Source organism: Homo sapiens, chromosome 4, assembly GCF_000001405.40.
Source record: "Homo sapiens chromosome 4, GRCh38.p14 Primary Assembly".
Taxonomy (NCBI): domain Eukaryota; kingdom Metazoa; phylum Chordata; class Mammalia; order Primates; family Hominidae; genus Homo; species Homo sapiens.
This window is the reverse complement of record NC_000004.12, coordinates 78,589,288-78,610,447: the sequence shown is the minus strand read 5'-3', so window position 1 is coordinate 78,610,447 and position 21,160 is coordinate 78,589,288. Positions and strand designations below refer to the sequence as shown.

Here is a 21,160-nt window from a genome sequence, read left to right as displayed (position 1 = left end):
TTTTAACAAAAGCAACAATTTTTATTATCTTGCTTTATATTTAATGGAGTAGAACTATAAAGATTCTTAACTTTGAAAGCAGAAATATAAGTTGGATAGTAGTTGCAGATCTTTAATACCATTTTCAATTTCATTTATGAGCTGCTACATTATAAATGAGATGCTCTAAAATAATAATCGCTTTTGTTGTTGTTGTTATAGAACAATGAAAATTCCTGTTAGGAACACAAGTTGCTGTTTATATTTGCTTGTTCTCTTAAATAGTATGAGAAGAAGTAAGGTGGAGCTGTTGGGAAAGCCCATCGTGGACCTTTGGAGATTATCTTCTTGGTTCAGTCATCTCCACCACAGATTTTTAAGAGTGTGATTTCATAGTCTCCAGAAGTATCCGACTGCAAAGAATAAAATCAATGAAGAACAAATACAGTATAAATAATGGGAGACCATAAATGAATCAAATCCTATAGCACTAGGGAATTCACCTGGGTGTGAGACTCATGAGCTATACCATTTAGTAAAACATACCTGCAATTCCATCATTCATTCATACCTGAGTGTAATTACGTTCTGACCAGCATCTTCTTCACTGTAAGTAATATTTAGATTCTTCCTGATATACTGCAGTTAAATTTCAATTTTGGTTTAATAAAATAAGATTGCATCACTTACATAATATTGATTTCTATAAAAACTTCAAATTTTAGTTTTAATAATATTTATCGAACACTTGCTATTCAAAAGGCTTAATGTGTATTAACTACTTTAACCCTTTTAAAAGCTCTCTGCAATAGGTACTATACGTATCCCCCATTTAACAGATAAGTAAAATGAGAAAGACAGGTTAGGAAACTTGCCTCAAATCTTATCGAGAATAAGTGACAAAAGCAGGATTTGAATCCCTATATCCTGGCTCCTTAATACCCTGCTACACTGCCTAACTTAGGAAAGTGAAATGAACCACATTTTTAAAGAATATGTTTATCAGTTCCTTTTCCCAAGGCCAACCAAAAATAGACTGTTGTCCAGAAAAGATACTACGTGAGGTTGAGGCTTAAAGGGCAAAGATACCAAGTTTGTAACGCAAAAGACTTCACAGGAGGTAAAACTTGGCTTTCAACCTGGATTGTGTAAGATGCTCACATTATTTTTATTTTATTTGAGGTAACCCAACCAGTGAGCTCTTCTTATCACTTAAGTTTCACATTTGGAATGGCTGTTACTGGGGTGAATATTAGAGAAAGTGGTAATATAAAGGAAGTCTCAGAGAAGGCTCATTTAGTGAAGAAGTTAAGCATTACTTTCATAGTAAGACACAATAGGCCTTTATATATATTTTTCTGTTTTCTTTATTTCTTGTTCATTTGTCTGTTTCACAAAATATATGACAATATTCTTCGTTTTTATATAGATTTTAGTTCTTATGCTATTGGTTTTCCTGTCTTGCTCTGCAATAGCAGAGCTGACAAGTCAACAATGCTCCAGCTTTGTATTAAAAGAGCTCCTTCTAGACATCTCTGATCAGAGTTGTAAACAATTAGGCGTTCTACCAGTTAGTCAAGAAAATACATCCAAGTAACTCAAAGTATATTTACACCGCTAATGACTTACTTGACCTCTCCACATGTCTTACATGGCTCAAAGACATCTCAAACTCAATACATGTAAAACCAAACTCATAAACCTCCCCCCACTCCCCCAAAAGAAAAGGAAACAAACAAACAAACAAACAACCTAAAACCTGATCCTCTTGCAAGGAATGGCGCCACTGTCTGTTTTCCAAGTTAGGAACTTGAGTGTCATCCTTGCTATCTTCCTTTCCTCACACCAAGATATTATACCAAGTCCCTTAAGTTTCAACTCCTAAATATCTTTTGAGCCCTTCTTATTCTCCAGAATAAGAAGATCTTACAGGGATCTTTTCATGATCCTGATACTAACTCTTCAAGAGCTCATGCCCAGAACTCTTCAATGGCTTCCCCTTACTCTTAAGCTAAAGCCAAAATTCCTTAAACATTGCCAAAAAGGTCCTGCATGATCTGGCCCCCACATCCTCATTTTTCATTATGCTTCCTCCACCATGAGGCCTTTCCATTTGTCATTTCTTTTATTAGAATGTTCTACTGGCTCCCTTACCTCCATACATTTTGCCTTATTAATATCTACTTATTTTCCAGATCTGAATCATGACTTTCTCATAGAAGCCTTTCCTCTAAGTCAAGTCCTACTATTGTAGGATCTTTTAGCACAATGTCACTTTCCTTTACATTTAACATAGTTGTAATTCCATAAGGGCAGAAAATGTCTTCCCCCACCCTACCCCCTTTGCTTATAATTGTAACCCTGAGCCTAGCACATAATATGCATTTGATAATATTTTTAATTGAATGAGTGAATTCGCTGATCTCAAAGCTCTCTTTCAACTGAACTCATCTTGCTACTTGGATTTTATTTCTCAATATTCCCCAAGGTAGACCCTCTAATCAAACAAATGCCTTATTACTTCTTTCCCTCTTGCTTCTTCCCATATCTGTCTCTAGAGCATTTACTTTTAAGACCCTATTGATCTGGGGTCTTAAAGGTAAATGCTCCAGCAGAGCACCTGGCCCACAGGAGACACTCAACACATGCTTGTTGACCTGAAAGGCAGGCTCAAGACCCATTTCTCTAACCCCAAACTTCTTTTCTTCTCAATTCCGATAGTACTAGCTCTATATTCAACAATCTAGTATTTAATTGTCTGTTGTTTCAATTATTATCTTCTAATTGTTTCTTCATACCTACCTCAAGTCTCCACATAGATTATGAGTTGATTGTGAGTGGCTACTATATTTTCCCATAAAAAGCTTGGAATTGTGCTATTTATTAAATAAATACAGAATTTGTCTATGAAGGAAAACTACCAAAAAATATAATTTCATCTAAATTTTCCATAATATCTTCTTATAAAGTAGTAAGAGGTACACATTGGTTTTTCACCTCTGTTCTTCCTTGCCTTCTCCTTCCCACCGGTTACCCCCTGAGAAAGGTGTCAATGGACAAAGAAATGTCTAAACAATAGGTGGAAGGAAGAAAACAGGCAGGATGACAGGCTGAGATGATATGCAAAATGGAACTCTATCCCATGAATTTCAGAAACAACCATCTAAAAAGATCCTGTTCTTCAATAGCAAAAATGTAATGAGATTACTTAATAATATGTGTTAGGTGGTAGAAATAAAGAAATCTTGTACTATTTCAAACTGCAAACTGAAGTTTTCAGTGATGGATTTTTCTTTTCTATCAAACTACAAATAGTTTAAATGTTTTCTAATACAATAAGCCTCAATTACCCAGACCACTGGGGAACGGAGAGCCACTGGTTAATTTAATTTTCTGGTTTGCTGAGGGTGAACTGAAAGCCCTCTTTATGTCTCAACCTTGTTACTGACAATCTTTAGAAAATGTGTGAGTCTATTTTTCTGCCTTAGTAGCTACAACATGGTTAATGTTATTGAATCTTCCTCTGATGATTGAAACTATTGTGATGTGTCAGGACTGATTCAAATAGAATTGAGTGTGAGCAGTTGATGCAATTTGTGCTAAGTCCCAGGCACAGTCTGAGAATTGCCTTTTTGAGTAAGTTCCTGATTTCAACTTATGCATGCATCTCAGCATCTCTTTCTGTAAAAGTTTAGTGCAAAAACAAAAACTCTGATTAAAAAGAGAGAGAGAGAGATTTTAGTGAATGAATCTAGTTGACTGATTGATGTTCATTCATTCATTCATTCATTCAAAGGCCATTTGTAAAGTCAGAGGCAGAAACCTTCCCAAGATAGCTGCAGAAAGACCCAGGCTAATATTTGTGCCTGTTCAAGGGTGGCTATTGTGGGTAGGGCCATAGCGAAGGTTGGACCAAAGACTCCAGCTGCTGGCAGGGACACTGGAATGTGGTCTAAGCCAGGTGTCCCCAGGGGACATCGCTGAGTGTAAGCTCCCCCACAGAGGTAGTGCTCCAGCCTTGTAGGGGCTTGAGAGAGGGTGCTGCTACCCAGGATCAGGATGTGCATGGTGCATAATGATCCACAGCTTAGGGGGTCTAATCAGCATGGACTCCATTCCCAGTTTTAGACCCTCAGCACTCAGAGCAAACACTCTGCTTGGCTGCTGCTTCCCTCTTCATCCTGGATCACCTTCTAGGCCCCAAGTCTCAGCTTAGACCTTGGAGAGTTCACCTGGGTCCAATACTCTCTAGTGCTGATTTCCTCGAGACATTCAAGGGTAGATGGAGTAGCAAAGAGACGGAGAGGTCTGCATAGCCTGCAAGTCCTCTGCGAAGGCAGCCCTGACTCTGTCTTTTCCCCTGGTCAGTGTGGCCTTGGAGGCAAGGACAGTGGATTGCTCCACTCACCAACCCCAGCTTCCACTTTGTTCCAGGGAACCAGCTTGGACTAACACTCTCTATCACTCATTTACTAGAGACTTTCATATGTGGTCTGGAGCATCAAGGTAGAAAAGTAAATCAATGGAAGGCTACTGAGCAGGTGTGGGGCTAGCCCCTTAGTTCTCCACTAACTAGTTGCCATCTTCCTGTTGGGACTATGACTTTTGAACCACGAGCTTAAGGTACAGAAGCCTCTTGTACAATTTTTGTCAGGCTTACTGCCCTATTAATTCAAATAATTTGTAATTTATTTGAAGTTTCTATGTATAATATATCAACTGAGATCTGAAAACAATGAAAATGGGTTTCATGCTTTAAAAGAGAAAGGAAGGAGCCCATTTTAGGAAGATTCTCATCCAGAATGAAAGAAACAGAAGGGACCAGATTTTTTAAAAACTAAAATACTGTGAAAGATTGATAAATTTAATTAAATAAGATGTGCAACCTCTGCTTGGAAAAAAATACTTTTGGCCAAGTCAAAGGACAAAGAACGGACTGGGAAAATATGACCAGACAAAAGGCTAATCTACCTTATGTGAAAAACGTCTTAGAAACTGACCAAAAAGAACAAAAACCCAAAAGAATGTGGACAAAGAATGTAAAAAGACAGATCACAGAAAGAGAAATACAAATGTTATTTCAAACATGAAAATATATTCAGCCTTACTTATACTAAGAAAAATGTATATTACAACTACACTGAGATACAATTCCTCACCTATCAGATTATGAAAACCCAAAAGTTTACCTATAGTCCCAGCTACTTGGAGGCTAAGGCAAGAGGACTGCTCGAGCCCAGGAGTTCTAGGCTACAATGTATTATGATCGCACCTGTGAACAGCCACAGCACTTCAGCCTGGGCAACACAGCAAGACCCCATCTCTAAAAAATGTTTTAAAAACCTAAAAGTTTGAAAATACCCTCTGTGCCAAAGCTATGGAGAAAGAAGTTCTCATACATTCCTCATGGAATTGCAAAATGGAATTCAATTAGTAATATTTGTCAAAATTTAAAATGCATTTATATCTGTCTCAGAAATCCTACTTCTGAGAATTCATCCCAAAGATACACTCGTACCTGATGAAGTTGTGTATGCATTATACAACATTGTTTGCAATAGCAATAAACTGGAAGCCTCTGTTTGTTGTGGTGGGTACAAATATACAAACAATGGAATGATATACAGCTGTTAAATAAAATGAGAAAGTTTCCTATATACTGAAATGAAAAGCACTCTAAGCTGCAGAACCATGCTGTCTCATGTAAAACAGAGAGGAAATTTAAAATACGTATTTTTCTTTTCTTACATTGTCATAAAGACTGAAATAAATAAAAACAGTGCAATATAAAAAACAGGTAAACAACTTGCATATGTAATTCACAAAAGAAGAAAAATTAGTGGCTAGTACACCTAAAAAAATATTGAGTGTCTATTATATGCCTGGGATTTTAGAGCTGAAAATAAGGGATATTTTGCTGCTACTATTTTAAGCTCAGACAACACATTTATACATTGACAAGGAGAGAGAAATCTAAGTCAAATATCTTTATATTTTAAGGCATATAAGAGTAAGGAGATGGGTAGAGAAGGGCAAAATATGTTTTGCTATTTTTAAAAGTAGACTTACTTTAATTGCTGAATATAGGGAATAGCCATAATGCTTCTTGAACTCTGTTCGAATGTCCAAAAGGTCAATTTCTGATCTGGACACCATTATTCGGTTCAGAGTAAACTCATCAGTTCCAATACCCTGTTAAGGAATGCAGGTGTTCACAACACAAATGTCATTGGTCACAAAGCAACATAGAGATCTATATTTATAAGAATCAGATAATGGTGTGCAAAATATTCAACTATAGTGATTCTTTTTCATTTATTATCAAACTCATCATTCATTATTCAAGAAATATTTGTTGAGCACCTACTCTGTGACAGCATCATGCTAAATGCTGCAAAGCAGAGATGAGATACCCATGTTAAGCTTCCAGTTTTGTAAAGAATACAGGCAAGAAAGTAAGCCATTGCAAAACAGTCTGACATGTTGAAAATATTGGGTACCATGGGAGCATACTTCAGGGGGGCCTAAGAAAGATTAGGGATTAGGAAAAGTCTGAGAAAGTGACATTTAAGCAAGGACTAAACAGTCAACAAGAGGAAGGAGTAGGTTCATGTAGGGAGGAGAGAAACTTCCTATAGAGGAAATAGCAGGCGTGAAGGTTTAGGGCAATAAAGAACGCCACGTTCAAGGATACGTAAGTTAACAAAGAGGGATAAAAAGAAATGTGTCTGGAAAGGCCAGACCTTGTTAACCATGAAATGAAATTCTGACTTTATCCTAAGTGTGGAGAGCTCTTGTAATATTTTAAACATGAGAATGTTGAGATCAGATCAAATTCGTGGTTTCAGAAAATCACTTTGACTGCAGCATGAGAAACAGATTGCAAGGTAGGAGTAGAAGGAAGATAAGGGAGTTAAGACTAGAGGCTTTGAGACTCATCTTGAGGAGACTGAGTAATTAAGAGATGATGATGGCCATCCTTAGAATAAAGGCAGTAGGGATGGAGAAAATGGGAAGATTTGAGAGTTGCTTATGTAAATGGATTGACAAAACATAATGATGTATCGCTACAGGATAATGAAAAAGAGAGATAGTGTAAAATTTCTAGCTGAGCAGTTAGGTGGATTTTGACCTAATGATGGCCAACATACTAAATGATATTCCATTCATCTATGTAATTCATCCAGCAAATGCTTATGAGCGTCGACTATAGCCAGGCATTATTCCATGTGCTGTGCCAATGGCGGTGAACAGAACAGATTATATCTCTGTCTGCATGGAGCTTATGTTCTAGTAGATGGAGACAGACAGCAAAGCAAATTAACTATTGCTTAAGTAAATAGTGATCAGAAATATGAAGAAAAGAAAGCTGGAAATGGCATGGAGAGTGACTGAAAGGGAACCAATTGGCCTGGTACAGTTAGGGGAGACCTCTCTCAGGAGGAGAGCTGAAACCTGAAAGATGAGAAGGAGTCAGCTAGGTAAAGATCTAGAGGATGAGCATTCCAGAGAAGGAATGGATGCAAAGACTGTGATGTGAGAATAGACTTGCCACAGTTGAGGAATGGAAAGAAGCCTGGGGTGGCTGAGGCATAGTCAAGAAGTCTGGGGAGGAATGGTACGACTTCAGAGAGTTGGGCAAATTCCTGTTGGGGCCATTCTCTGGGATGACTGAACAGGGGAAGGGGAGCAGATGTGGGGCTGGGCGAGATGAAGGAAAGGATGTGTTCACTTAGGATATGACTTTGAAGGTACGTGTGGGACCACAGAAAATGGCTGGTAAAGAGATGGAGGTAAGCATCTTCTGTGCACAAGGCCCTAGGGTCTGAGGATAAACAGGAGTCTGTACTCATGGAGCGCACCATCTGGCAGTAAAGACAGACAAGCAAACACAGGGTTACGGCATCATTAAAGGCTGCCAACTCAGCTTGGTTTATTTTAAGCAAGGCAGTTTGAGAGGCCACAGGATCTACTGGGTCTCAAGCTTGAGGTTTGGCATTCTAAAACAAGTTTTACTGCCTGCACTTACTGTGAAGCAGTGAAAATAATGTGGTCAATACTTCTCTGTACCTATCTCTATATGGGTTAGAATACTATTAACCTATGAGGCAAATCAGTAGACAAATTAGCTACTGTAGAAAACTAATCTAAGTGGAAAAGAAATATGACATTCTATCAACATTAAGCCATATTTTTACCTTCTCATTTTCTTTTTTTTTTTTTTTTTTTGAGACAGAGTCTCACTCTGTCGCCCAGACTGGAGTGCAGTGGCGCAATCTAGGCTCACTGCAACCTCTGCCTCCTGGGTTCAAGCAATTCTCTGCCTCAGCCTCGCGAGTAGCTGGGATTACAGTGCATCTGCTACCACGCCCGGCTAATTTTTGTATTTTTAGTAGAGACAGGGTTTCACCGTCTGGCCAGGCTGGTCTTGAACTCCTGACCTTGTGATCCACCCGCCTGGGCCTCCTAAAATGCTGGGATTACAGGCGTGAGCCACCGCGCCTGGCCTGCCTTCTCATTTTCTATTTAAAATAGAGGATGAACTTTTAAAATTTAATATTATACATGAATTTTCATCTTTCATACAAGTGGAATATTAGCATCTACTTAAACTCATCATATTAGAGAAAATGAGAATGTTTTAGTTAAATAGAAATCAAATTATACCTACTTAGAAAAAAATTATTTCATAAACCCAGGTCTGTTTATTTTGAAGAGAAAATCAGGTGTCTGTGTAAAGAGTGTATTGTATCATACCTTGATTTGCTGTAATATAATTTATCTTAAAATGTTTAAATTACATTAAAATAACTAATTTTTAAATATTTGTTCTACTATTTGCATACTTTCCCAAGGGAATTAAGGGACGCTAAGAATGCACATGAACTTTCCAGACCAACCTTCAAGGCTCGATGCAGTCTTTCGGCTAAAAAGGCCGGCGTGTTCCTCACACAATTAACTGTAACAAAAAGCAAATAATGTTCAGCTTCACGGAATAGAAATTGGGTTAATCTATAGTAAGTAATATGTTTTTTAAAAAGATTCTTTGGACTGTCATACCACTCTATCCCCTCCCCACAACTGGCTTTTACTTGGAATGAAAGAAAGGCTGCTTACCCTGATTTTCATAGCCTTTTAATACCATATTTGCACAGAACTTTAGCACAGTAATTATCTCCAGCCATGGGGAAAATAAAATTACCTGCCAAAGAAACTCCCACAGCGACTGACTCATCTCTGGATCCCAGACACCCCGAACACCTACGCTTTCCCTGATAACTCCCTAGGGTGCGACACTGCTCAGCTACTAGCATCTCGGGCTACTGATGAACAACCTGGGCCTGACAACTGCAGCGATGTTGCTCCAAATAACTCATTAGGCACGCAGGGGCACTGGAGTTCCATTTAAAAGCAATTTTTCCCATGGAAAGAATTTTCTTTTAAATGACTGGATTAGAATTTATAGGCTGGTTAGAGTGACTCCATTAGAACAAGTATCTGTCATCTAAATTCAGTTGCCTTAAAAAAAAAATACAATCCTTCAATTCTTTATTTTGAAATAACAAGTAAAGCAGAAATAAAACAAGAAAAAGGAAACTGACAAAAACGCAAGAGTAAATTATCTTTTAAATAAAAAGAAAATAGGAATAGAAAAGTCTGTAGGGAAGAAACCTATTTACAGCAACACAATTATTTTTATAATCTTAAATCTGATCTCTAGGTAGGAATCCAACCAAAAGTGAATGGATTTTATAATGAATTTTGGAGCTCAGAACAAGAATAAGTGACTTTCTCATCGTGGCTTATAGACTGTCTTAAGGAAAGCTAAAAGACTTTTGGCTTTTTGAGTGATTTAAGGGAAATAGAAGGAGAAATGTATTAGAAACCCAAACACAGCATTTAGAATCAAACTGTTACATGAAGTTCTCTGACAAGAAACTAACCATTTAAACTAGTAAAACTCACATTAAGTAAGCCATAATAGCTTGATAAAAAATAATGATGCCCACTTTCATCCTATTAAGCTTTCCAGTCACCTCCCTGCCAACTAGATTTGTACAATCCCTTCTTTTCATGATCCTTTCTTCCCTTTAGCTTGCCTTCTGCTTTATATTCTTACCTACTAGATTTGTTCTTCATATCTGAAAGTTTTGGAAGGTGGCAGTATGTTTCAGTGGGAAGGAGGCTTTATCACCCAGCACCATAGGCAGGGAAGCTTGGGAGTCCGTTAGAGTTAATTACCATGACCAAGAATTCATAATTGCCCATTCCCTACCCTCTTCATTGTCTTGACCACACTTCCATCAGGCCTCTCTCCTCCCACAGGTTCCTGAACTCTGGCTTGTCCCCAGTCCTGGGCAAGCCCTAAAATGCAGAACATGCCTCTGTTGCAGCTTATCTTGAGAGTCCAGCTGTCCACTGCCAGACGTGTTTCCTGTCAATCCCCAGTGATCATGCCCTTGTGCTTGCCCAACATTAAAAGTTGCTGCTAAGACTTTTCTGTTGGATTTTGAAACTTTTGCACATTTTTCCCCATCTTTTAGAGATGGGATCTCACTTTTGTCACTCAGGCTCTGGTGTAGTGGCACCAACATAGCTCACTGGAGCCTCGACCTCCTGGGTTCAAGCACTCCTCCCACCTTAGCCCCTTGAGTAGCTGGGACTACAGGCGTCCACCAACCTACCCAGCTAATTTTTTATTTTTTTGTAGAATCTTTAATATATAGATTAACAATATAAAATGGAAAAAAAATTAACCAGTTCTATCATTGCCATTGGAACAGTCTCAGAATGCTGCTCTCACTATGTTGCCCAGGCTGGTCTTGAACTCCTGGCCTAAAGGGATCCTCCTGCCTCAGCCTCTCAAAGTGATGGGATTATGTGCATGAGCCACCACACCCAGCCCAGTCTTTCAGGTTTCTGAAATCAACATGTTCTCTCTATTGAAATAGTTCTACTGAATAAAGCCTCTCCTTACTTAAGTCTGGATTTGTTCTTATTTGGCAAGTAGTATGCTCCTATTACACGATTCTAAGATGACACAGCTCAGATCGTTTTTCATGTCAAAAACTATGTGTTGACCATTGTATTGGATTCCTTGTGTATGAAATATGCAGAGTAGGCAAATCTATAGAGACAGAAAGTAGATTAATGATTATAGGAGCCAGGGGGTGGGGAGGATTGGAAAGTGACTGTCAATAGTTACAGGGTTTCTTATGCGGCTGATTAAAACGTCCTAAACTTAGATTGTGGTGATGGTTGCAAAACCTTGTGACTACATTAAAAAGCATTGAATTGCACACTTTGAGTGGGTGAACTTTATGGTATGTAAGTTATATCTCAATAAAAAATTTTATAAACTGGTTTATTCCAATGGTAGACTGAAACAAAATGAAAGTGTAACATATTTTGAACTTCAATTGAATTATAAGGTCTTTTTTTACATGATAAAATAATGTGCATTATAGCCCAAATGTAATACATTATTCAATGATATATTTCCAAGAATGCTCCTTAGCTCAGTGAATGAGAGTTTGTACATCTCAACAAAGTTTTTCAAACATTACGGCTTAGCAAGAACACCAAATGAAAAACAGCAAGCAGAATTAATATAAAGATTAACAATATAGGCCAGGGGTGGTGGCTCAAGCCTGTAATCCCAGCACTTTGGGAGGCAGAGGTGGGCGGATCACTTGAGGTCAGGAATTTGAGACCACCCCGGCCAACATGGTGAAACCCTGTCTCTACTAAAAATACAAACGTTAGCCAGGCGTGGTGGCGTGTGCCTGTAATCCCAGCTACTTAGGAGGCTGAGGCACAAGAATTGCTTGAACCTGGAAGGCGGAGGTTGCAGTGACCTGAGATTGCGCCACCACACTCCAGCTTGGGCAACCGAGCGAGACTCCGTCACAAAGAAAAAAAAAGAAAAAAAGATTAACAATGTAAAATGGAAAAAAAAATTAACCAGGTGTATCATTACCACTGGAACAGTCTGAGAACTAATTATGAAGACTGATCTCAATTCTACTTTTTTAATTGAAGAAGAAAGTTTTCCCTTTCTTAGCCTCCTCGGCTTATCTTTTAGCAATTCAGAGTCAACAATGAGCTGAGATTGTGCCACTGCACTCTAGTCTGGGTGACAGAGTGAGACTCCATCTCAAAAGAAAAAAAAAAAAGAAAGAAAGAAAAGAAAAGCCACTGATATCTTTCATAAATAACCAAATATGGTGGATTACCAAACTGGCTTAGGTCTTAGTTGCATGTGTGTGTGTGTGTGTGTGTGTGTGTGGTTTTTTTAATTAAAGAGACAAGATCTTGCTATGTTGCCCAAACTGGCCTTGAACTCCTTGGCTCCAGCAATCCTTCCACCTCAGCCTCCCAAGTAGGTAAGACTACACGTGCATGCCACTGTGCTTTGCCTACGTCTCAGTTTTCAACAAAGCTCAATAAAAATGCCAGTAGAAATAAAATATTTCAGCTCTCAAGAAGTCTACAAGCTAAACATGGTCACAAGACAAATACAAATTTAAAAAGCAAGGTAAGATTTAAAAAGATGGCTGGATGTGGTAGCTCACACCTGTAATCCCAACACTTTGGGAGGCTGAGGTGGATGGATTGCTTGAGCTCAGGAGTTCACGACCAGCCTGGGCAACATGGTGAAACCCCATCTCTACAAAAAATACAAAATTAGCTGGGCCAGGTGGTATACATGCTTGTTGTCTCAGCTACTTGGGAGGCTGAGGTGGGAGGACTGCTTGAGCCCAGGAGGTTGAGGCTGCAGTGAGCTGAGATCACACCACTGCACTCCAGCCTGGGTGACAGAGTGAGATCCTGTTTCAAAAAAGAAAAAGAAAAAAGACTTAAAAAAATAACTTCTTCAAGCATTCATTTAACAATATTTGTTGAGCGTACTGTGTGTATCCTGGACCATGTTGGGGGCTGTAGGGAGCAAAAAAAATGGATCAGTCAGGATTCTTGCCCAAAAGGAGCAGGCCTCGGCACTGAGTTAAAGCAAGTGCAAAGTAACTTAGTTTACCAGCACTCGAAGTCTTACCTATGGCCAACAGTAAGTCTTCAAAATGCCCAGATAATTCTCCTTTTATGCTGTCCACAATGTCCTTTTGGCTGATATTTCTGTATTCATCAAATGCTAAAAAGAAGCACCACAAAATTATTTAAAGCAACGCAGTTGAGCACATTTGAATATATTCTAGTTTTTTATTTGATATGCAGAAGATCAAGTAGCAAGCTAAAAAACTCCCTCTTTAAACCATGAAAATCTGGGCACAGAAGTTTTTGTTTTTCTTTTGTTCCTTTTTAAGGAAATCATCTACAACAAAACCCAAACTCCCTAGATGATTTTCTTCAATGATCTCTCTTTCTCTTTCCCCTTCTCTCAAGCAGTAAGCATTTTAAATAGCCTAAATAGTTAAATAATAAATAATTTATCCAGTAAGTTGGGCTATTTTAAATTTTATTTATAGCAGCACCTGGGAAATGATACTATAATCACTAGTCAAATATGTTTTCTCTGGTAAAGAAATCTTAATTCTGAAGACTTCCTTGTGCTGAATCATTTCCTAAGGTGGCATGGCCTACTTCACACCTCCCAGAAGGCATTTGAATTTCTTGATCAGTATTTGCCCCAAGCAAAACCTGTACATATGTCACCAAGTATACAGGCATATTTTGTAAGCCAAGTATATTTTTCCCCAATACATTTTTAAAAAAAGAAATTTTGGAGAGAGACCTAGGGTTATCTGGTTTTTGTTTTTCAAACAAAGACATGAATAAAGCAACTATCACATACTGTTGTCATTATTTTATAAAATAAATGTGATTTTAATGCAAAAGTTAAGAAAGAACAATTTCAGAATTTCAAAGTCACAGTAATATCCTTATGTTTACTCATTGTTCCGTCAACTCAGCATAAGCTTGGTCTTGCTGTGTGGTTGTTCTGTAAACTAGCATCTGGAAGCCACAGTCAGAAGATGTTCACAGTAAATGAAGGTTTAGTTTTCTAGGTGTTGTTGCTTCCAGAACAGTTCTAGGAGATGCCATGAGCAAGAGGGCGGGTGCCCACAATTCCATGTAATAGCTGGTCTGACGATAAGAGTTGATCCATTCTACCACTTACCTTCATATCAGAAATAGCTAAAGGTTAATCAGTATTGATGTGTCAACAGAGACTCACCTGCAGTGTCTGGCTTTTCTGGAAGTGGCTAACTAGGGAGAACTGTTAGGTGGAGTGGAAGCAGTTGGGCTTCTCCATTCCACAGGAACAAGCCCTTCTACTCTCACCCTAGAGGGTGGCCTCTTTTCTTCTCCCTGCCACCTCCCTCCCCCATCTATTACCTGGTACTCACTAGGTAATCTACTCAGCCTCTATGGAAAAACAAAAGTGTAGTGTCAGTACTTCCTTGAGTTACAATACAGCTTTCCCATTTTGTTTCCTGAAGTGTGAATAACTGGAACAGACTTCGCAATTTTAAACTTCGTTTTTCTAGATCTTTGTATACTAAATGCAAAAACATTTGTAAAAACAACATACAACACAAAGGATTGTAATGTGAGTTTGTACTTAGTTTTAATTGAGGAAAGCTCCTTAAACACAGGATCTCAGTGAATTTGTCTTCATCCGTGCCCCATCTGTTCTCACCAGCTTTATAGAGAATCTATTCACAAGAGAATGATATTAGAGACACAATTATTTTCTTTTTGAGAGGTGACATGAGAAGAATCGGAGTTGTATTTCAGAGGTCAGTGCCATCATCTATTATCTAAATCTCTCACTTTCAGAAGACTAGAAATCAAAAATTGGGCTGTCAGGAGCCAAGGAGAATGATAACTACCACTGGGGCAGGCAAAAAGTTAGGGTTCCGATCCCCAAGCTTCAGGCTTCTCTTTCAAACAGGAAAAAAAAAAAAAGAAAAGTCCCTGTTGCTGCTATTTTTCTCCCTTTTCACATAAATGCAAAGGCAGCCACATAGGAGAATAGGTAAAGGAAATGTTTTCCCGCTTTGTTACTGACCTGGGCATCTTGTTTGGCCAGATGCTCATCCACTTTCAGACTTTCATCTCTTCTGCCCTAAACAGGAGGACGAAAACAAGGGCCATCCTTTAAAGATAGAAGATTCTAACACATAGTACTTCAACCAGCAGGGGATCTTAGTGGTTTTTCTTTAAGGCAGGACAGGTTGCACAGAAAAATCATGTACTCAGGGCTCCAGTTCTGGTTCTGCCATTGACTAGTCATGAAATTTTTAGCAAATCACACAATTTTGGGGGCCTCAGTTCCCTCCTCCGAAAATTCATATATATATATATTTAGAGACAGGTTCTCACTCTCTGTTGGCCAGGCCAGAGTGTAGTCCTGCAGTCATAGCTCACTATAACCTTGAACTCCAAGGCTCAAGCCATCTTCCCGCTTCAGCCTCCTGAATAGCTAATATGACTACAGGTGCACACCACCACACACAGCTAATTTAAAAATTTTTTTTAGAGATGGGATCTCGCTATGTTGCCCAGGCTGGTCTCAAACTCCTGGCCTCAAGCTGTCCTCCCACCTCAGCCTCCTGAATCTCTGGGAATACAAGTGTGGGCCACTGTGCCCAACCCAACACAGAGGTCTTATGTGGAAGAAAAGACAAGGTACAAACTGGGAGAACATATTTGTAACATGTATCTGATAAAGAACTTGTATCCAAAATACATAAAGAACTCTTAAAACTCAATATGAAAATAACAACCCAATTTAAAAATGGTTGAAAGATCTCAACAGACATCTCACCAAAGAAGACGCACAGATGGCACATGAAAAGATTCTCAACATTGTATGTCATTAGATAATTACAAATTAAAACAATAAGATGCCACTACACAACCTATTAGAAGGGCTTAAATCCAAAACACTGACAACACCAAATACTGGTGAGAATGTGGAGCAACAGGAACTCTCATTCACTGCTGATATGAAAGCAAAATGGTACAGTCACTTTGGAAGACAGTTCTGCAGTTTTTTAATAAAGCTAAATATCTCTTACTATATAATCAAGCAATTGCACCCCTCGCTATTTAACTAAAGGAGTTGAAAACATGTCCATACAAAAATCTGCACATGAATGTTTACAGAAGTTTTATTTATAATTGCCAAACTTGGAAGCAAAGAAGATGCCTTTCAGCAGGTAAAATAAATATTCTATACAATGGAATACTACTCAGTACTAAAAAGAAATGAGCTATCAAGCCATGAAAAGACATAGAGGAACCTTAAAGGCATATAGCTAAGTGAAAGAAGCCAGCCTGCCTGAAATGGCTACGTACTGTATGATTCCAACTATAGGACATTCTAGAGATGGCAAAACTATAGAGACAGTAAGAAGATCAGTAGTTGGTGGGGAGGAAGGTATGAACTGGCAGAGCACAGAGGATTTTTAGGACAGTGAAACTACTCTATCATACTGTAATGATAGACATATGACATTATACATTTATTAAAATCCATAGAACTATATCACAGAAAGAGTGAACCCTAATGTAAACTATAAACTTCAGTTAATAATAATGTATCAATATTCATTCACCAATTATAATAAATACACATACTAATTAATGCAAGAGTGAGACCTTCTCTCGCTCTAAAAAAAAAAAAAAAAAAAAAAAAAATTAGCTGAATGTGGTGGTGTACACCTGTGGTCCCAGTTACTCAGGAGGCTGAAGTGGGAGGTCTGCTTGGGCCCAGGAGGTCGAGACTACAGTGAGCTAAGATCACACCATAGTTCTCAAGCCTGGGCAACAGAGCCAGATCCTGTCTCAAAATAATAATAATAATAATAATAATAATGGAAAGGAAAGGAGAGAGTAGAATAGGGTCATATGGGAGCTCTCTGTACTTTCTGCTCAATTTTTCCATAAATCTGAAGCTGCTCTAAAAAGTAAAGTTTATTTAAAAAAAAAAAAAACTCAAAGGCGGGGCGCAGTGGCTCACGCCTGTAATCCCAGCACTTTGGGAGGCTGAGGCGGGTGGATTGATTGAGGTCAGGAGTTTGAGACCATCCTAGCCAACATGATGAAACCCTGTCTCTACTAAAATACAAAAATTAGCCGGGTGTGGTGGCGTGTGCCTGTAATCCCAGCTGCTAGGGAGGCTGAGGCAGGAGAATTGCTTGAACCTGGGAGGCAGAGGTTGCAGTGAGCCGAGATCGCACCACAGCACTCCAGTCTGGATGACAGAGTGAGACTCTGTCTCAAAAAAGAAAAAATAAAAAGTCCTCAAAGATCCCCAACTGTGATATTAAAGGCTCTATGGTTTAAGTGGTGTGTGTGTGTGTGTGTGTGTGTGTGTGTGTGTGTGTGGTATGTGTGTTCATGTACAAATACTTAAGCACATTATGGAAAGACAGGAGACAAAACCAAAACACGGGATTGCCTGAATTATTTGGCAAATTATAGGTGAATGAAACATTTAGCTACAATAGTTTAAAATGAATTTGTTCCTATTTTTAAACATTAGGTCCTTGTATGACTGTCTGATTTTTGCCTGGTTTCTTTTCTGTGCTGCTGATACCCTGCTGCTGTTTGCTTTCTTCTTGTTCTCTTTCACTTACGCTCGCTCCAATGACATAAATGCTGATTATCATCGGTCTTAATATAATACTAACCACTACCACCCTGTGTTGATCACTAAGTACTTCACATACTCTCTCTTTCTCTTAATCTTCATAACACCCTATGAGTACTTGTTATTGTTAGTATTTTAGTTTTACAGATATGAAAATGAATGCTTTAAGACTTAAAGAACTTGTCCAAATATACAAAGCTAGTTGGCAGCATGAGATTCCAGCCCTGTTTGATTCTAGAACCCTGTCCTAGAGCCCTACTCTATACTGCCTCCTGTGGGTGGGTGCATTCATGTCCATACACAAACAGATGTGCACTTAGGAATATATACCTCTGAGAGCATATGTTTGCAGCAATGCTTCATAAATTTGGTGTTGTGGGTTCAACCTTCATAAGTTTTTCACATTTAAAGTAACTGAAACCATAATTTAGATAAATCGCTTCCTAATGGCATAATGCCTCACTTTGACAGGTGCTGTTTCAACCATGAGGCTGAGACCGTTGTTGGGATTTTCTCACATTTAGGTGCTATGTAAATCAGCTGAAAGAAAATTGGTGAGCTATGGTTTAAATCACGTTCTCTCTTACACACAGCTGTGAATACACCTCATCCTTGACCTTACCATCTTTATAATAAAAGTCATAAGCCTTCTAAAAAGAGAAAGCAAGGTGTGGCCTCATTAGGTCACATGATGATTAATAGTTTGGCAGCTTTTCCAAGGTGGCAAGGCTGAAATTGCAGCAATCATTTTCTTTTTTTTAATCCTGAGACTGATACTCAATTTAATTCCCATCTCTAAAGATCATTCTTCTGTATCATGCTTCCTATTTAATTTAGAAGCTAACAAAAGAAATATTTATTCTTCAGAGTCCAGAAGAAAATAAACCTGTTCTTTAAAATGGAGACACTTATAATGGAAATAAATATTGTATGTCAGATGATGTATCAGAATGTCTTCTAATGTCAAAATTGTGAAACCTGACCAAAACACCTCCACTTACTGACTCAAATAAGTTTTCTTTGTTGTTACATCATTATGTATGCTTTTATGATCTTGGTTAAACATTATATTGCTTGGTGGCAATGAAAATGTAAAATGAACAAACCATTTCATAAGGAAAATTGTGAACTCATTGTCTCAGTTTGGTTATTTTTAAACTCCCTAAAAATTGTTATTGAGCATGCAGCTTACTGGGGAGTTAAAAAATAAAAAATAAAACCTTACATCTGCCAAAGTCAACAGAGCTTTCCGGAAGTCACCAGATGTTTCGGAACTAATGTCATCTCCAAGACTCTTCTTGTATACTGAAACCAAATCAGAATGAAATTAAGCCTTGACAAACTGAAAAATATGATTATAAAACAGAGAAAAGTTTAAATGCCAACACTAGCAAAGAATGGGTATGTGATAAGATAAATCTTGCCCTTTTATTTAATTTCTTCATGCTTTTCTGTTGTGAGATGGTACATTCTTCTTGTAACTCTTACTGCACTGTGTTGTGGTAGATGCAAAAGAATAGAAAGAGTTGTCATTCTGGAGCAAATCTTGGTTTATTTCATCTGACAATGGCACTAAGGGATGCATAGTGGAAAAGCTGGGGTGGATGAGCTACTAGTGTGCCTTTCAATTTCCATTCTGGCCATCTTCCATACTAAGAGAACCCTAACCTTAAGCAAGATATAATGTACACAGCTTAAAAACTACTTTCTCAGCTTTCCTCTTAGCTAGTACAGTTCTATAACTTAGTTATTCACAATGAAATGAAGGCAGACAAATCTCCTTAAAGGGATGAGGCCATGTTCATCTTAGTCCTTCCTCCATCCAACTGCCTTACATGTGAACTGATATCTGCATCTTGGGCAGCCATCTTGGACTGTGAAGATAAGGACCACTTCTTAGTGATGGCATAAAAGTAATCAAGAAGAAGTCTGAGTTCCTAAAAGCTTTGAGTAGCTGTCATACTAGACTTAGAATTGCCAATGTCTAGACTTCTACATATGATAGAAATAAACTTCTACCTTTTGTAAGCCACTGTAATTTTTCTGTTTTATCGAATCTAACCCTAATCTTAATGAATATAATTAAACCATATTTTTTCGTATCTCCCAAAAGTAAGAAAGCTACCCAAAACATGCCATTTCCCTTTACAAATGCCAACTGTGTGTTCATATATTTTAGTACTGACTAGTTGTAGCCCCTTTTGCATGGCCTGTGATGTGCAGTGCCCATCAGTCTTAAATCTCTGTCTGCCCCATCCATGGGGTGGTGATTCTCTTGGAGCCACTATACCCTTTGTTGTAGGTGACACCATGTGGCTATCTGAACTGTCTGCACCATTCTCAAGAATTCTATAAATTAGCCATACTAGCCATGAGAATTCTCATCTATTTAAATCAATGAAAGACAATTATAGAAAGTGATATGAGATTATCCAATAGCAAGAACTGCGCTGAGATGGAAACTTCTTCAGCATGATTTTAGTAAGTCTCTTTTTTATGAAATCTGTAACTTTTCAAAGCAATTCATATAAGCAAAATCCACCAAAAAAGTGTGTTATTTTTCTAAATAATAATATTTAGTAGGCATCATTAAACCTAATGGTTGTGATATTGTTACATCTATCCTTCATTCTAGTTAGATAAAAAACTTTAAATTTGAAAATATCAAGTAGAAGAATGAATATCCCATTTCTTAGAACTTGGGGAAGTATTTTGTAATTTTGGAATTATTTAGATGAGACTTTATAAGTCATTTCACACAGCCTCTCCCTTTCCTTCAAATATTTTGTGGGATATTAGAGTAAAAAATTATTTCAACCTAAGTTGACAACTACTTTATCCATTTTGAGGCACAGTAGAGTATAAAATCAAATAGAATATTTTAATAGTACAGGTGCCTGGACTAGAACTTTGAGTCCCTGATCCCTGTTTCAGTGTTCTCTCTCTCACACACCATTGACTTTAGAATACCGAAAAAAGTTAAGAATTTAGATCTCTCTTTATTTAGACTCTATTGTGCCACTGTACTGAATAAGCTGTAGAAGACATCTGGTCCCTTTATGAGGGCCAACATGATAGTGACTTCCTGAACCCATTGTATCTTCTCTCTTAGGGAGCGAGTGACACAGAAAAGGAGACAAAGACAATAGAATAACAAAGAACCAAAAGACTCCTGGAAATAATGAAGAAAACAGTAGCCAAGAATAACCAAAAGCTATGCACAAATATTTATAAGCCTTGGGTAGACAAACACCATGTGGTAGGGGAGGGGATGTTACTTGCTGGTGTCAAGAACATTAGAAGCAAAAAGGAAGAGGAGCAGTTACTGTCACGGAAAACATTAGCATGGGGAGCAATGGATGCCTGCTGCCGAGAGAGTGACAACATAACTGGGTCCCTCGGGTAGTGCTGTGACTTTAATCTCTGTAAAGTTTGGCTATGCATGATTGAGACAATTTCCTTCTTGATCTTCTTGTGTATCATTAATCTCTAGTAACCAAGGTAACCTTGATGCAGTTGTATCCTTTGTAGCCTCAGAGAGCATTACTCACATAGAAATTG

The 21,160-nt window shown here is 38.2% G+C and overlaps 1 protein-coding gene across 2 annotated transcripts in view; it reads right to left on the bottom strand.

Annotated features, from left to right (window-relative positions):
• Positions 1–21,160, bottom strand: part of ANXA3 (annexin A3) — a 58,678-nt gene continuing 37,518 nt past the window's right edge. The window contains exons 7-13 of one of the 2 annotated variants that reach the window (NM_005139.3): positions 18,825–18,904; positions 15,011–15,067; positions 14,561–14,654; positions 13,034–13,129; positions 8,880–8,938; positions 6,049–6,171; positions 1–392 (exon numbers count right to left, since the gene is read on the bottom strand). In NM_005139.3, the coding sequence (NP_005130.1) occupies positions 333–392; positions 6,049–6,171; positions 8,880–8,938; positions 13,034–13,129; positions 14,561–14,654; positions 15,011–15,067; positions 18,825–18,904 (569 nt within the window). In that variant the 3' untranslated portion in view covers positions 1–332. Of the gene's footprint in view, positions 393–6,048; positions 6,172–8,879; positions 8,939–10,957; positions 11,108–13,033; positions 13,130–14,560; positions 14,655–15,010; positions 15,068–18,824; positions 18,905–21,160 lie in introns of those variants that run through there. The other variant, XM_047450154.1, reaches the window with a different exon arrangement.